Here is an 18,341-nt window from a genome sequence, read left to right as displayed (position 1 = left end):
GAAAAAAAGAATTCAAGGTTTACAAAGAATACTGGAAGGCATAAACAGTCACTGAAAAGTTAACACATACAGAAGATGCTTCATTTTTATTTTATTGCCAAGTTATTGCTGCTTCAGAGAGCATGACTATGACTTGCTATGTGACTCTTGGGCAAACTCCTTAACACACATTCCTCATTCATAAAATGGGAATAATGTTACCAACCTCACAGGGCTCAAAATATATTATAATTAATGTTATCAAAAGTACACGACTTCTATTCTAACTGGAAACAAGAGATTGCATAAAAGAGTCTGCCTAATCCTGGATCACTGAAAGCTATGATTTCAACACATTAAAGTGCAAATACAAAGACCACTTCATATTTAGGATGGCAGCCTGCCATACCTAAAATTATTAACAAGTTATATTTCTCCTGCTTGTATAGGTACAACAGATAAAACTACACTTTTTAGGCTCAAAAACCATACACACCATCTATTATTATTGTAGCAACTATCTATCCTTCAGATAAGAACAATGATAAGACATTCACAGGTAAAAGCTAAAAACATGACAGGTAAAAAGTTGTCACAATGTATATTGCAGTACATGTTTCCAGGACCAGGCAGTGAAATAAGATTCTTTTATTTTTATAATTGAAGAGAACTAGTAATCCTCTAATTTAAAAAAAAAAAAAAAAAAAAGGGCCGGGCACAGTGGCCCACTCCTGTAATCCCGGCACTTTGGGAGGCCAAGGCAGGCAGATCATGAGGTCAGGAGATCGAGACCATCCTGGCTAACACGGTGAAACCCCATCTCTACTAAAAAATACAAAAAATTTAGCCGGGCGTGGTGGCAGGCGCCTGTAGTCCCAGCTGCTCGGGAGCCTGAGGCAGGAGAATGGTGTGAACCCAGGAGGCAGAGTTTGCAGTGAGCCGAGATCGCGCGCCCCTGCTCTCCAGCCTGGGCGACAGAGCGAGACTCCGTCTAAAAAATAAATAAATAAATAAAAAATAATAATAATAAAAAATTAGGCATATGCTTGGGTCTTTCTGTGTGAACGCCCAAATATGACCCATTACTCAAAGGCACCATAAAATCCACTTCTCCCATGAGAACTGAAACATCCCGTCCACATATAGCTTTCTTGAATAAATATTTGTCATATGCCACTTTATTCTCTGTGTCACGTTCGTTATTCTTATCTTCCCAACTAAATTCTAGACAAATAGAGGGCAGGAATTATGAATCATGCTTTTTTATTTCTTTGTCCTTTTCTTACCTAATGTGTAATTTAATAACTGAACTTGATATATTCGTTTATGAACAAAGATATACCTAGACATCTATCGTCCATAATAACTAATTTTAGTGAAATGACTAATTTTAAACCTAGGTTAATATTCCTTTACTCCTACTTTGGTACTTGAAATCGAATATTGATCATGCAGATGTATATACTGCAGAAATCAAAATAACACAGAGATAGATTCTTTGCCATCAAAAAAACTGATTAAAAAATAAGCACTAGAAACACAGAGGAAAACAAACAACAACAAAAAACCTTCATCTTAGTGTCCTGTTTATGTAATAATAGAGAAGCTAAGTTAAACTATGAAAACAAACTGACAAACCTCTCTTTCCAGATAGCACTTCTTTGCTGCTGGTTCCATGATATCATATCCTTGCGATTCTCCAATATACTGAAACTCCTCAAGTTCCAGGGCTTTCTGTTTAGCACACTCTATTACATGCTTAGGGAAATTAGCAAGCTCTGCAACATGAATCCCAAAACTTTGATCACAGACACCTATAAGAAATTTGGGGAAGCGTGAGGGGACAGCATGAGAAGAGACAGCAATTTATGTAAATGGAATTTATCCTTCTCACCTTGTCATTAGAAAACTTAATTTCGGATTACTTCAAATACATTAGCCAAATATATCATTAAAATAAAGGCATTTTAATTAAGTCTCAAATGAAAAGTGATTATGACTTGGCACACAGTGCTGTATTTTATCCTCGACAAACATAGTAGGAAAAATAAAAATAGGAGACAAAAAAGCTCAATAGATAAACCTTAAAGGCTTAGACAAATATCTTAATCTAAAGAAAAATTAATCAAGCCACTATCTCTGAGGCTTTCTCATTTCATGGGAAGGTAAGGGAGGGGAGGAGAGGGGGAGGGGAAAGGGGAAGGGGAAGGGAAGAGGGAAGGGAAGGGGGAAGGGAAGGGGAAAGGGAAGAGGAAAGGGAAGGAGGAAGGGGGAAGGGAAGGAGGAAGGGGGAAGGGAAGGAGGAAGAGGAGGGAAGGGAAGGGGAAAGGAAAGGGATGGGGGAAGGGAAGGGATGGGGGATGGGAAGGGGGAGGGGAAGAGAAGAGGGAAGGGGGAAGGGAAAGGGGAAGGGAAGGGAAGAGGAAAGGAAGAAGAGAGAAGGGAGAATGGGAGAATGGGAGAAGGGGGAAGGGAGAAGGGAGAAGGGGAGGGAGAAAGACAGACACGTAAAGTGTCACTAATTTGGAGTAGCTTTAATTAAATATTGATTATTTGCAGGAAATAGTTAAAACTGAGTCAAGACTTTTTAAGCATTTAATCAAATGATGCTTGCAAAGTTACTATACAGCTGTTTTTGCCACAATTATTTATCAACTATAAAGAATTTTTTGGCTTTGTCATATATCTCATGCATTCTAGAACTGAATACTTTGCACAACTAAAGGAAGCAAACAAAAATAAAGTAGAAGCAAATGTTTGTTAAACATTCACAGTGAAGGATGAAGTTTTTCTATCTTCACACTTCATCTGGCCTTTTAAAAAATATTCTGAACCCATTTCTATAGCATACAAAACACAAACAATGATTTAAAAGCAAAATTTTATGCTGCCAGATCTACTAAAAGTTCCTGAATTCTACAGCAATAATAATAATGACTCAAATATACTAACTCAAAAGGATTCCCAATGAAGTACAAATAACAAAGGATAAAGAACCAAGATTATCTCACTCATGTGCAACCAACTGATGCAGAAAAACGTGTTCGTGGAAAATCAGAGCGCTATCTGAAAAAGTTATTCTGGTGACTAGTGAAATCAATCCTTATAGTATGATTTTTAAAACCTTTGAAAGCCTTATAACATGTGAATCTCATCAATACAGGGATCTGACTAGATCCCAAGCCCACGAATGACAAACTTTCCTGAAAGGATGAAACAACAACAGATAAGTCACTCTGCATGTGATAACTACTATTTCAAGATTTCTGGAACCCCCAGCTTTAAATGAACCTGTTTCTATAACACACTCTTAAACACAAAATAAGCTAATTATAATGAAGATTTTGTTAAACAATAACAGCTAGAACTTTGGAACTTGAAAGCATATTGTTTGTTATCCTAATTCAACAAGAAAACATACTGCCATGGGAGGTAGCAGAAAATGCCTCCATGGTGATGTTCAAGAGTACAGATAATTCTGGCCGGGCGTGGTGGCTCACACCTGTAATCCCAGCACTTTGGGAGGCCGAGACGGGTGGATTGCCTGAGGTCAGGAATTCGAGACCAGCCTGGCCAGCATGGTGAAACCCCGTCTCTACTAAAAATATAAAAATTAGCCAGGTGTGGTGGCAGGCGCCTGTAATCCCAGCTACTCGGGAAGCTGAGGCAGGAGAATCGCTTGAACCCGGGAGGCGGAGGTTGCAGTGAGCCGAGATCGCACTCCAGCCTGGGCAACAGAACGAGATTCTGTCCCAAAAAGAGTACAGATAATTCTTTCTGTGAATGCTTTAGAATGAGTGGTCCTACTATGAGATACAGAAATATGATGTACATGTTCCTACCCCCAGACTGTGAATTAAGGGGTAAATGGGTTCTATAACAACATCAATAATTTATACTAACTTAGAATAAGGCAATTACTGATGATTTCAAGGGTAGTAAGTTTCCCATTACCAAGTTCTGAATTTAGAGTACTCCAATAGTACATACCTTTCTTCACCTGATAAAGCATAGTTAAGGTCTCTTCAGTGGTGAGTGCTGTGACATGTAGATTATTAACAGTTGGTATCTGATTGGCCAAGGCAGTAAGTTCATGAAAATGGGTTGCAAACATGCAAAAAGCACCAATCTTTGTTGCAATGTATTCTGATATAGCCCATGCTAACCCAAATCCATCGTAGGTAGAAGTTCCTCTTCCCAATTCATCTATGATTATTAATGAATCTTTGGTTGCAGACCTGAAGCACATAATTACATGAAATTTCCCATCACATAAAATGTGGTAACATACACATACAAAAACAAAATTAAGACAATACATTGGGAAGGATATGCCACAAACATAATGGATTATCTTAATATATAAACAAAGTCAATAAAAAGCACTAAAACTTCAATAGAAAAATGGGCAAGGGCCAGGCATGATGGCTCACGTCTGTAATCCCAGCACTTTGGAAGGCGGAGGTGGGAGGATCACTTGAGCCCAGACCAGCCTGAGCAACATAGTGAGACCTTGCCTCTAAAAAAAAAAAAAAAAAAAAAAATTAAAAACTAGCCAGGTATGGTAGCACACACCTTTGTGTGGGAGGGAGGGAGGGAAGGAGGGAAGGAGGGAAGGAAGGAAGGGAGGGAGGGAGGGAGGGAGGGAGGAGAATAGGAAAAAAAAAAAAAGGTCATGAACATGAACAAACAACGGATGAAAGGAAAAACAGATTTTGAATATTGTTTTACATTATCAAGCACACTAGTAGTAATCAAAGGAATTCCAAATAAGGCAGCTATCATTCATTTCGTGCCAATCAAATAGGCCGAGATTAAAAAAAATAAATAAAACTGAATGAAGATGAGACCAGGGTGTGGTGACATGGATACCTGCATACACTTTTGGTGGTCATGTAAATTGTGTGCCTGCCACAGTCCTACCAATACCATCTATTACTATTCTTTTCTCAATTTTAACCAAATATATGTAAAGGGGTGAAACTTTTGCTAATTTTTCATGTGCTCGTGTGCTCATTGGCAATTTAATTCTTTTTCTGTGAGTTGCCAGCTAACATGTTTTGCTTATTTCTTTAATCTTTTAAGTCATGAATATTAACCTGTTGCTTAATTACTATACAAACATTTGTATTGCTTTTATAATTCTTCACAAACAACAGAACCTCAAAGAAGTTAAATCAATACATAATTTACTAGGCACCTACTATATTTAATGTTCTTTAGAAGATACTAAGAAATAAGGAGGATCACGGTGGTTCATGCCTGTAATCCCAGCACTCTGGGAAGCCAAGGCAGGAAGATCACCTGAGCCCAGGAGTTCGAGACCAGTCTGGGCAAAAGAGTGAGACCCTGTCTCTCTAAAAAACTTTTAAAAAAAGAAAGAAAAAGATACCAAGAAATAGAAGGTATAGTCCCTACCTTCAAGGAAGCTCCTAAAAAGTGAAATAAAGACAAAACATTTCAGTAATGTCTAGAATAAAAACGTGGTTCAAGTTACAGGCATCTCAAGAGGAATTCAGAGAAAAACACCCATGACCTTACGGTCGTATGACCAGAAAAATCACTACAGAAATAGAATTCCCATCATTAGGGACTTAAAAATTAGAAAGAAGTTGGATAAACGGCAAGAAGGACCATTCCAGGAAGTGTGAACAGTCCAAGCAAAAACATGGTAGTGGAGATTTATAAGGTGAACTCGTACCAGTAGCTTATAAATTGTCTACTTAAAGAGACAATTTTAAAAATCAAAGTTTTCCGTAGCTACCATCAATCACTCTTTTAAGACAATACAAAGTATATAAAGTCCACAGGAAAACAACTATTAAACTAAGACAAACATTCTCAGATGTTTTTACATGAGAATCTGCAAATATACTTTTCCTTCTCACAGGACAGAGACATACATTTCTATCTTCAAGGGACTAGGAGATGCACTTACCTGAGGATAGAAGCAGTTTCCAACATTTCAGCCATGAACGTGGAGACTCCTTTCAATTGACTGTCACCAGCCCCTACTCGGGCTAAGATGCAGTCCACAATGGACACTTCTGCTGACTCACATGGCACAAAACACCCAATTTGGGCCATGAGTACTATCACCCCAGTTTGTCGAATATATGTTGATTTACCTCCCATATTGGGGCCTACAAAACAAATTATATCAGAAAGCAAGATTTTAAACTTCTTTCTGCTACTAATAAATGGATTGTTAGTCCTAAACTGTACACTGATGATTAATCGCGTAGGTTTACACTGACATAGCATATAAAGGCAGAACCACAGCCTGCCCAAAGATGTGGACAGAGTTACTGCCCATATTACCCCCAAAAGCAATGCTATTATATATCTTCAGACAAACCGATACTGGGCCTTTCATCAAGAGAAGCCATGACAAATATACCTGTAATTTGACTGTGGCCTAGAAAGACCATATACACATTTTCCCATGGCTCACAGGGCTGCCTGTGAGATAATTTACTAACTTCCAGAAAAGTAGTTCAGGCCTAACTGATTAACTCAAAACCATTACTCATTAGTAACTAAGGTTACTAGTGAATGTATCAGTATGGTCAAATCTTTCGAATCATTTAAACCCCACACAAAAACCTGAAGACATGATCTTTCTTTTGAAAAACAGGCAATTTATTTGTTGGGGTTAGATTATATGAAGAACTTGAAAATCCATTTGGGGAAAGGAAATACAATAAACTGTTTCCCAAATATATTTGCCCCAAAACTACTTCCTTTTTTGTTTTCTAGAATCTAGTTAAGATCTCTCAAACATCTCAGCTGAGACATGATACATGAGCCTATATGCAAGGCTAGTTTTTGCGAGTTTCACATGAATATAGTGCCATGTCTTAAAATAATTCCTATCCTAACCTGAGGTCCTCCCACAGCCAATTTGGCCTGACCTTCAAAGACCTCACTATTGGAGGACTGGCTCAAAGGTAAGCTTTGAGTGTGAAGGGATGTTTGTTTCTAAATGCTCTGAACCCATGGAAGAAGTTTCACATGAATACACTATTCTCTCACAAGCTTTTATCTCACCTTCTAAATCTTCCCTCTAAACCAAATGTGAATAGATTACTAACTGGTAAGAATAATATATTCCCTTTCTAATGTTAAGAACTGGGAATTTTCTCCATCAATTTTAAATATATTTCTACTCCAAGATTAAAAAAAAAAAAAAAAAAACAAAACGTTACCCCCACAAAGCCCAAAAACCAGGTTTTTTACCAGTAATGATGTGGAACATCTGTTTATCTTTTTCAAAGTATACGTCATTAGGAATAAATGCAATTTCATCTTGAACTTCAACACAAGCATGCCTGGATGCTTTTAATATAATTCTTCCTTGTCCTTTCTCCAAAATGGCTGGTCGTACATATGGAACAGGTGCTCCATTTGACACGTGAGCAAAGCTGACAACAGCATCTAGCTGAGCTAACACATCATTGAGTGTCTGCATTGGTTCTACATAGCCTGTATAAAAATAAAAACAGAAAATGTACACAGGAATACTGAATAATAAACAGATATAAGCCGTAAAAATACATTTAATCCCCCCATTTGGGAATTCAAAACCCATTTCCTAATTTACACTTTTTTAAAAAAATTAACAAAAGTTAGCCTTAACAAAATTTCAAAGGAACCCACCTAAAACTCAACATAGGGTTAAAATGTGTTGCTACATCCTTTCCCATTGTGAATAGCTATCAAAAACAGAGTACTGGCTGGGTTGGGTGGCTCACGCCTATAATCCCAGCACTTAGGGAGGCTGAGGCGGGCAGATCGCATGAGGCCGGGGGATCACATGGGGCCAGGAATTCAAGACCAGCCTGGTAACACGGCGAAACCCCATCTCTACCAAAAATACAAAAATTAGCCAGGTATGGTGGTGCATGTCTGTAAACCCAGATACTTGGGAGGCTGAGGCACCAGAATTGCATGAACCCAGAAGGTGGAAGTTGCAGTAAGCTGAGATTGCGCCACAGCACTCCAGCCTGGGCAATTCTGTCTCAAAAACAAACAAACAAAAACACACAAAAAACAAAAATAGAGTACCTTCCCTTATCAGCAAAATATAAAACTACACAGCTGCTTATCCAAGACATTCTCTCAATTTTAAGACACACCTTTTCCTATATTTTAAGTATCTGAGAAACCAGAATGACACCTCAAAATCACCATAAGAAAAATGTAAGCAAAAAGGTAGCAAGTTGAAATGTGACCATCAAGGCCTGGTATATTGTACGAACTGACCGTAAGACAGTTTGGCTTTCTTTCCTCATCAGTATCACATGCAGAGGATGTCAGCATAAATTTAAATCTCTAATTGTCACTTAAAACATTTTCAAGATTCTACTGTTCTAGAGTATTAACATTAAAAGCTATTAATAAATACATTTAAAAAAATCTGACACATGCTAGACAAAAAACAAAGGAAATTAACAATGCTTAAATTTTTCTGAATAGATTCTAAATGTTAACAGGTTGGAGGGGCTGGTGCATGACCCACATGTCATTCAGACTATCATACAGCTATCAATCATGTCAAAAGCTTCACAGAACATTCAAGATAAAAGCATTTAATTCTAGGAAAACCAAAAATTATTAGTTTAATCTAGGGGCTGGAAATTTAACTTATTTTTTATTCCCTTGTTCCCCACAACAGTGATCAAATGTTTTGAAAATAAAAATCAACTTAACAATGGCCAAGCAGACCTAATTATCTTCCTCTGTTTCAGTATACTTTTTTTTTTTTTTTTTTTTTTTTTTTTTGGAGACAGAGTCTTGCTCTGTCGCCCAGGCTGGAGTGCAATGGTGTGATCTTGGCTCACTGCAACCTCCGCCTCCTGGGTTCAAGCGATTCTCCTGCCTCAGCCTCCTGAGTAGCTGGGATTACAGGCACCTGCCACCATACCCAGCTAATTTTTGTACTTTTAGTAAAGACAGGGTTTCAACATGTTGGTTAGGCCAGTTTCGAACTCCTGACCTCAGGTGATCCACCCGCCTCGGCCTCCCAAAATGCTGGGATTATAGGTGTGAGCTACTGCACCTGGCCTCAGTACACTTTTGAAGAATTCAGACTACCCTATTATATAGCAATAGAAGCCTTTAAGAATTAAACATGAGTGAAGTACTTGCTATAACTACTTTAAAACTTGTAAAATTGCTAGCATACTGACAAGAATAAGTTTATAGTAAAAAAAAGAAAACTAGGCTGGGCAGGGTGGCTCACGCCTGTAATCCCAACACTTTCGGAGGCCAAGGCAGGAAGACTGCTTGAGTCTGGCCTGGGCAACAGAGTGAGACTTCATCTCCACAAAAGATAATTAAAAAAAAATTAACCAGGTGTGGTGGCACTACTACATGTAGTAGTCCCAAGCTACTTGGGAGGCTAAGTGGGGAGAATCCCTTGAACCTAGGAGGTTGAGGCTGCAGTGAGTCATGATCGCATCACTGCACTAAAGCCTGGGCAACATGGTAAGACCCCATCTGAAAAATAAATAAATAAATAAAAAGCAAACCAAAGCATCTTAATTAAGAGTCTATACTTGGCATGTCACATAACTGGCTCTTAATAGCATGACCTTTTATGACTTAATTGTATGATAGAAAATTATTAAAGTGATCCATTACACTTTTTGAGATGGGAGTCTTGCTCTGTCGCCCAGGCTGAAGTACAGTAGCATAATTATGGCTCACCACACCCTCGACCTCCTGGGTTCAAGTGATTCTCCTGCCTCAGCCTCCTGAGTAGCTGGGACTACAGGCATGTACCACCACAGCCGGCTAATATTTTTTGGATTTTTTTGTAGAGTTGGGGTCCCCCTATGTTGGCTAGGCTGGTCTCAAACTTCTGGGCTTAAGCAATCCTCCCAGCTCAGCCTCCCAAAGTGCTGGGATTACAGGTGTGAATCACCATGTCTGGCCGCCATTACATTTTTAAATAAAAATAGCTCATAATATGTAATATCAGACCAAGAAGAAGTTTCATTTAAATTCAGGTTGACTTCTAATATAAAACCTTCAATTTAAATGTTAAAATCTAAAAACTTTACCCTGCTAGGTGCTTAATAAATATTATTTTTTAAGGAAGATCCACAGTTCAAATAAATGGTATTTACAGGGTTCTTTAAAATGAAATCTAGCCTAAGAAACATAATTCAGCAAAAGATTATTACGTCACAGTTATCTGACACCAACAAGCAAAAATGTAATCTTTACAAATCAATTCCATTCATTTCAATACATAAAGTGTATTAAAATAAAACCTTTTGAGTTTTATGTTTCCTTTTGATTTACCATGACAATTCATAATAGCAACACAATTTATAGAATTACTCATGCACATAACCTTTTAAAAAAATATTTGTCCTTAAATAATTTAGCATGCATATCCTGAGAACAAGGACATTCTCCTAATCATAACACTACCATTTCACACAAGAAATCTGACACTAACACCATATTGTCTCATATTAAACTTTCTCAATTCGCCCCAATAGTGTCCTCTATAGCTATTCCCCAACTCCAACCTCTAAATTGGGATCTAATCAACTACTGCCTACTGCGTTTGGTTGCCCTGTCTCTTTAAGACCTGTTGATTTCTTTTTTGCTGCCGTGACATGGACATTTATTAAAGTTCAGGCCTTGAATGCACCACAATCTAAATTTATTTGAATTTTTACTTCTTGTTTAAAATCAGGTTAAATATTCTGGTCAAGAATACTATATAGGTGATACTGTGTCCTTCCTTCTATATCACACCAGGAAGTACATGTCATTTGTCCCACAACTGGTAATCTTGACTTTAATTACTTGGTTAAGGTAGTTCTTGAGTATATTTTTTAAAGGCACAATAAAGGTTAGTCAACATACACACCATGATCGGCAAAGCCTTCCAACTTAACGCATCACTTCCTACCTTGTGCTAAACATATATTCATTCCATTCTAAGGGCAATAACACAGTGCCAGGTTGCTGTGTTCCTTTAATTACATGAAAATGATCTCAAATGGTGCCACTAGAATGAACTCAAAATCTACAAAATGACATACAGAACTCAAAAAGGCTTGCCTCATGTGTAATTAATATTTGCTTTTCAGTGGTATTTACTTCCATAACCTAGAGCCTCATGAGCCCATAGATGACCCAAGACATTAGTACGTTGTAGGCCCTAGTGTTTCCTTTCCCTGTTACAACTATAGTAAGTTTTGTGCTTTTCTGCCATTTTTTGTTTCTATGTGCAAGAGTAACTTCCAGTTATGTGTCCTACTGTAACATACCATGCCTTATTTTATATAGGAAACCTAACATATTAAATAGTCAGAATGTAATGGCTTGCGAAAATAACAAAACACACTTCAAATATCATGATTTTTCTTCTGTTACCAAAAGCCAGGTGACATTCAGAACATTATTAGTTCTATTAAGTTTACCTGAAGAAATATTGACAATTTCTTTAACAATGGCATCCTGGGCTTCTTCATATTCTGTTTTATTTTTGGTATACTCTTCATTTAAAGAAGTCAATTTGCTGCAAATCGAAATAACAGTTTTATTAAAAATATTAAAATGTGTACTAGAAGCAATGTGTACTACGTGAAACATATCCAAAGTATCCTATGAAACATCCAAATAATGATAATTAAAATGGAAATACAAGTGGAAAACGAACAACTCCTTAGGGACAAATGTAGTTAGAATTCAATTTATTAATGTTCTTTTACACTGTTTGGAATAGCGCAATGGCACAATTCCTGCTATAACAATTATATTCCCCTGAGTAAAACTGTGATCTGTGTCCTTTTACAAAATATTTAAATGGAATCCTTATTTAAGATTGAAGACAGCCGGGCGTGGTGGCTCACGCCTGTAACCCCAGAACTTTGGGAGGCTGAGGCGGGTGGATCACCTGAGGTCGGTGGATTGCCTGAGGTCAGGAGTTCGAGACCAGCCTGACCAACATGGAGAAACCCCGTCTCTACTAAAAATACAAAAATTAGCCCAGCATGGTGGCGCGTGCTTGTAATCCCAGCTTCTCAGGAGGCTGAGGCAGGAGAATCGCTTGAACCCAGGAAATGGAGGTTGTGGTGAGCCAAGAACACACCATTGCATTCCAGCCTGGGCAACAAAACTAAAACTCCGTCTCAGAGAAAGAAAAAAAAGACTGAAGCTATTACCCCTTTTAAAACACAAACACAGGCAGGGTGCCTGTAATCCCAGCACTTTGGGAGGCCGAGGCAGGTGGATCACCTGAGGTCAGGAGTTCAAGACCAGCCTGACCAACATGGGGAAAACCCGTCTCTACTAAAAATACAAAGTTAGGTGTGGTGGCACATTCCTGTAATCCCAGCTATTCGGGAGGCTGAGGGAGGAGAATCACTTGAACCCGGGAGGCAGAGGTTGTGGTGAGTCGAGATAGCACCACTGCACTCCAGCCTGGACAACAGGAGCAAAACTCTGTCAAAAAAAAAAAAAAGAGAGAGAGAGAAAGAAAAAAACAAAAAAAAAAACACAAACATATATACACACACACAGTATTTCTCATTACTGTAGTATAAATATCTTTCAATACCAAAAGTTTTCAAAATAAGAAAAATGGTTTTTTTTTTGAGACGGAGTCTTGTTCTGTCACCCAGGCTAAAGTGCAGTGGCGCGATCTAGGCTCACTGCAACCTCTGCCTCCCGGCTTCACACCATTCTCCTGCCTCAGCCTCCTGAGTAGCTGGGACTACAGGCACCAACCACTACGCCCGGCTAATGTTTTATATTTTTACTAGAGGTAGGGTTTCACCACCGTGTTAGCCAGGATGGTCTCGATCTCCTGACCTCGTGATCCACCGGCCTCGGCCTCCCAAAGTGCTGGGATTACAGGCGTGAGCCACGGCGCCCAGCTTGTTTTGTTTTTTTTGAGACGTAGTCTGACTCTGTTGCCCGGGCTGGATTTCAGTGGTGTCATCTCAACTCACTGCAACCTCTGCTTCCCGGGCTCAAGCGATTCTCATGCCTCGGCCTCCACAATAGCTACGATTACAGGCATGTACCACCACACCCGGCTAATTTTTGTATTTTTTAGTAGAGATGGGGTTTCACCACGCTGGCCAGGCTGGTCTTGAACTCTTGACCTCAAGTGATCCACCTGCCTCGGCCTCCCAAAGTGTTGAAATTATAGGCGTAAGCCACCATGCCCGGCCAGGAAAATGTCTTGAAACTAAATCTTATTGAACAATTTGAAGAGAAAATTAAAATTAGAGGTTGGGCCGGGCACAGCATCTGTAATCCTGTAATCCCAGAACTTTGGGAGGGCAAGGCAGGTGGACTGCTTGAGCCCAGGAGTTCGAGACCAGCCTGAGCAACATGGGGAAATCCTGTGTCTATTAAAAATACAAAGCAGTGGGCAACACCTGTAGTCCCAGCTACTTGGGTGGCTGAGGTGGGATGGCTTGAGCCCAGGAGGTGGAGGTTGCAGTGGGCCAAAATTGTGCCACTGCACTCCAGCCTGAGCGACAAAGCCAAACCCTTCTCCAAAAAAAAAAAAAAAAAAAGAGGTTGAAATAAACAATACTCAAGGAAGATGAGAATAAAATAAGAAAAAAATACTCACTGGCATCAAGGAGGGAATGAAATTAAGAACAAAAAGAGGTGATGTAAAGGAGAAAGAAAGGAGAGAGAAGTAATTATCAGCAGTGGGAGAAAATCAGTTCATCAAGATGATAATTGTGGCCTTGATGGAATCACTCAATGGCACAGCAGACATGTATATGTATAGCTCAAGAACAGTACAGGGGCAAGTAGCAGCACAAACAGACTACTATGGAACAGGCAAATAAAAAGAATTAAAGAAATGCATGAGGGAAAGACATTATAAAAGTGAGACCACTGTGTGAAGGGACAAGCTGCAAAATATAAAAGCAGAGGCAGGCAAGGACCAGATTCTGCAGGTCATAATCTAGTGAGTGACTTTTTCACTTTTGGCATCATGTGGCCCATTCAGCCCTATCTTTTTTCATATGTTATAACTAATCCACGAAAAACTTGAAGATGATTAGAACACTCCAAAAGTTGTATCTTATCCAAGCTAAAATATATACATTTCTTGAACCAGGAGGATTCTAGTGTGCTGGAAAAACAACACACCTAGATTTGGCAATGGAAGATCTAAGTTTAGGCACCCACCAGCACTAGCTGTCTAACTGAGGAAAAGTAAAGTCTTAGCTTCTTCACCTATAAAATGAGAAATATACATGTCTTCTTTACTGAGAATTATGAGGAACAAACTAATTACTAGGGTGTCTGAACACCTAGAATGTCTGCATATAATAGACACTCAAAGTACTTGTTAAACAGACGACAGGGGATCATATATATAAAAGCTACCTGTAAAGTTCTGGGAAAATTCAGGAGGGGAGGGAGTAGAACAGGCCATAGTTTCCAGAACAGTACAGAAGGAGAAAGGCTTTAGCCTCCCCCCACCATAAGTCACAGAAGATTTTAAATATAATTTAAAATTTTTTAAATAATTTTTTTTACTTATCAATAATTTGTTTCAGGGACTTCCTGAGATTAGCCAGAAAACTGGCAGGAAAAAACTTTTTTGTTTCAACATGAAACATGATTAAAACAAAAAAAACCTATCATCTAGTGAATGGCCTCATATTTCCCTCAACTAATTTAAACACCCAATTGAAATATCAGAATAATTTTCTTAACTTGATAAATGATAGTAAAGTTTTCTTAGAAAAAATAAACATGTGGGTCAGGCACGGTGGCTCACACCTGTAATCTCAGCACTTTGGGAAGCTGAGGCAGGTGGATCACTTGAGGCCAGGAGTCCGAGACCAGCCTGTCCAACATGGTGAAAACCCATCTCTACTAAAAATACAAAAATGAACTAGGCGTGGTGGTGCATGCCTATAATCCTAGCTACTCAGGAAGCTGAAGCATGAGAATCGCTTGAATCCGGGAGGTGGAGGCTGCAGTGAGTCAAGACTGCGCGTCACTGCACTCCAGCCTGGGCGACACAGCAAGACTCTGTCTCAGGGGGAAAAAAAAAAAAGATAAGGCTGGGCGCGGTGGCTCACACCTGTAATCCCAGTACTTTGGGAGGCAGAGGCAGGCGGATCACGAGGTCAGGAGATCGAGACCACGGTGAAACCCCGTCTCTACTAAAAATACAAAAAATTAGCTGGGCGCAGTGGCGGGCGCCTGTAGTCCCAGCTACTCGGGAGGCTGAGGCAGGAGAATGGCGTGAACCCGGAAGGCGGAGCTTGCAGTGAGCCGAGATCATGCCACTGCACTCCAGCCTGGGCAACAGAGCGAGACTCCATCTCCAAAAAAAAAAAAGATAAAAGAAACATGTGAAAATAACTAAAGCAGAGATATGAGGGGGAACTAGCTCTAATAGATATGGTAACACAGAATAAGCGATAAAATATATTTTGTGTAGACAAAAGAATGGTGAGACGAGGTAAAAGTAGAGTCTTTAAAATAGACCCAAAGTACCACTTCAGTCAATGGAGAACAGACGGACTATTTAACAAATGGTGTTGCGACAGCTGACTGCTCTATGGAAGAAAGCTTGACTCTTACCTGATGACTACATTAGTAAAACTTATCATAGAACATTCACATCATGTTAGAGCATTTAGGGAATTAATAAAGGGTTAAAAATATAATAACGACTTGCAAACCTGTTGGTAAATTTAACACCATTCTTCTGGATATCTACAGTACTAAAGTTTTTATTGTTACGAAGGACTTTTTCTTCCTTACAGGTTACACGAAAGTAATATCCAAACTGTGCACTGGAATCCAGTTTAATCTGTTTGCCAGGGTCCAAGCCTTGATAATCAAGAAGAAAAGAAAAAGTATTCCATAAATACCTACTACCATTTTTCAATGTAATTCTAAAATTATTTAAATAGTGAAAAACATACTGTTATTATATGACAACATACTCACAATTATTATCTAACCAGAAAAGATTCAAATACTACTTACTTGAAAACTACATGAATTATGGATATCTATTTATAAAATCCTTAACTCCCTTATGAATGTTAGTTTCTGACTTGAAAGCTGCTTTCTGGGTAAACCCATCCAAGGCTGCAGAGCACCAGCACTGGGCAACATATTTGCCCCAATTACCATGAGCACCTGAGGATGGATTAAGGTGTAACCCCACCCTCGAGGAGTTATGCATGAGAATTCTTTTCTTAACCAAAGGTATTTCTTTGGAACTAACATAGAGTATAATTAATGTGACCAAATACAATTTCCAAACAAAAACTTGAGACTCTGACAATGAAACTCTAGGAAAACTAGTGCACATATTTTCTGTTAAGCATAGGAAACTTCACAAACCAAATGATCTGACTGATATGTGAAAGGAAAATAAATCTCGGAACCGCAAAATCACTAAGCCGAGGGAAAAGTCAAGCTGGGAACTATGTCAGACAAACCTGCCTTCCATCTTATTTCTAAATAAGATAGCGACAAAGATTTAAAAACTACATACTTCCCTCACTACATACTTCCCCTCCACAAGGAAAGTCCTTGTGGGCCTCCAGATGTTCACTCTCAAACAATTCTGTTGAATTTCACCCTAGCAATGGAAACTGATAGCTTATCTTCACAGGTGAGGGACAGAAAGTCATCCCTCGGCTCACCTGACACAAATGCATTTCTGATTGCTTCCTCTGACCTACTGTTTATGTAAAAACGCAGATTCACTAACAAGACTAAGCTTGTTTATTCAGTGAAAGGCTGATCAAGGACTCAAAAGTATGCAACCTTTTGTCTCTTATCTACTTATTACCTGAAAGCCCCTTGCTTCAAGTTGTCCTGCCTTTCTGGATAGAATCAATGTACATCTTACACATGTTGACTGATGTCTCATGTCTCCCTAAAATGTATAAAACCAAGCTGTACCCTAACCACCTTGCGCATGTGTCATTAGAACCTTGTGAGACTATGTCATGGATGCATCCTTAACCTTGGCAAAATAAAGTTTCTAAATTGGTTGTGACCTGTCTCGGATATTTTGGGTTCACAATCAGCTAGACCTTCTGCATCAAGAATTTGAGTTTTTATAAATACATTCCCTCTTCATAATTTCATTAACCAATATGATCTCTAGACCACAAATTAAGAGAGACAGAGAGAGAGAATCTACAAATGTACTTGCTGAAGCGTGGCCATCAAATGTTAGTAGTAGCAAACAATTAGACAGACCTCGCTTGACCAGTGAGAAAAGGGAAAGTAGAGACCCACCCAGAAACGAAATCGGACTGATCTGAACAAAGGAACCTCTCAAAACATTCAAAGTGAAAGAGTAGTTCCACAATGAAAGACTGCGAACAATCAGTGATCAAAGTTTCAAAACAAAGGACCATGTTCATGAGTATGTAATGTAGTTTGCTTATATATGCATTTCACTGCAGTGTTAACAACAGCAACATCACTAAACATGAAAGACAATGGTATTTACAGAATACTGTTTATTTAACACATGTAAACCTAGGCTGCCATGAGGATCACAACTTTATTTAAAATAAGGCTCAAATCCTCAAAGTGTAATGGCATTTCTGATGACACGTAGGTCTAAGAATTAAAGCAATGAATCCAACATGTTAATGCTATAGAACAATGTGGTGAAAACCAGAGAAATTAAGTAATTTGTAAAGAGCTTCAGAAAAAGTTTCCAAGCTGCAACTAGAACTCGTGTTTCCCAATTCCCAGCCTAATGCTTCTTATACTACAGTTACAGTTTCTGTCTCAATTTGAGTGCTATTTATGTTGCTTTCAACATACTTTTTAATAAAACAAATTTACTTAATTTTAAAATGAAATTAAACTTAATTTATACTGTAAAAAACAAGTTTTTGCCATTAATTTTCTTATTAGCACTCAATAAAATAGATAAAAAAATAGGCAATAATTTAATATATACTATGATGCATTCCTCTGTTTTTTTTTTTAAAGACAAGGTGTCGCTCTCACTCCGTCCCTCAGGCTGGATGGAATGCAGTGGTGCTATCATGGCTCACTGCAGCCTCAACCACCTAAGCTAAAGCAATCCTCTCACCTCAGCCTCCCGAGTAGCTGGGACCACAGGTGTGCATCACCACACCCAGCAAGTTTTTTCCTTTTGATTTTTGGTAGAAATGTGGTCTATGTGGCACAGGCTAGTCTTGAACTCCTGGGCTGAAGTGATCCTCCTAAAGTATTGGGATTATAGGCATGAGTCACTGTGCCTGGCCAATGATGCATTCTCTTTTCTTATTTTGAGACAGGATCTCACCCTGTCACCCAGGCTGGAGTGCAGTAGTGCAATTATGGCTCATTATAGC

At 38.9% G+C, this 18,341-nt stretch overlaps 1 protein-coding gene across 58 annotated transcripts in view, besides 1 other annotated feature; it reads right to left on the bottom strand.

Annotated features, from left to right (window-relative positions):
* The window catches only part of MSH2 (mutS homolog 2), a 306,764-nt gene that overhangs the window by 227,342 nt on the left and 61,081 nt on the right, over window positions 1-18,341 (bottom strand). For 51 of the 58 annotated variants that reach the window (NR_176242.1, NR_176244.1, NR_176248.1 and 48 more), the window contains 6 exons: window positions 15,681-15,831; window positions 11,427-11,524; window positions 7,219-7,464; window positions 5,918-6,122; window positions 3,970-4,217; window positions 1,618-1,793 (listed from right to left, as the gene is read on the bottom strand). Coding sequence is in view for 37 of the 58 variants with exons in the window: in NM_001258281.1 (NP_001245210.1) it covers window positions 1,618-1,793; window positions 3,970-4,217; window positions 5,918-6,122; window positions 7,219-7,464; window positions 11,427-11,524; window positions 15,681-15,831 (1,124 nt within the window). In the remaining 21 variants the exon portion in view is untranslated. Of the gene's footprint in view, window positions 1-67; window positions 1,794-3,969; window positions 4,218-5,917; window positions 6,123-6,599; window positions 7,465-11,426; window positions 11,525-15,680; window positions 15,832-18,076; window positions 18,210-18,341 lie in introns of those variants that run through there. The other 7 variants (NR_176249.1, NM_001406653.1, NR_176238.1 and 4 more) reach the window with 6 other exon arrangements.
* Window positions 9,623-9,787: a silencer, noted in NCBI's record as "fragment chr2:47699841-47700005 (GRCh37/hg19 assembly coordinates)". NCBI's record gives its function as "represses an EF-1alpha promoter that drives an FKBP-Casp9 reporter gene in an ReSE screen in phorbol 12-myristate 13-acetate-treated (for megakaryocytic differentiation) K562 erythroleukemia cells {active_cell/tissue: K562(+PMA)}" and the evidence as "EXISTENCE:reporter gene assay evidence [ECO:0000049][PMID:32094911]".

The sequence above is a fragment of the Homo sapiens genome, chromosome 2, assembly GCF_000001405.40.
Source record: "Homo sapiens chromosome 2, GRCh38.p14 Primary Assembly".
Lineage (NCBI taxonomy): Eukaryota > Metazoa > Chordata > Mammalia > Primates > Hominidae > Homo > Homo sapiens.
This window is presented reverse-complemented; position numbering and strand designations above follow the sequence as displayed.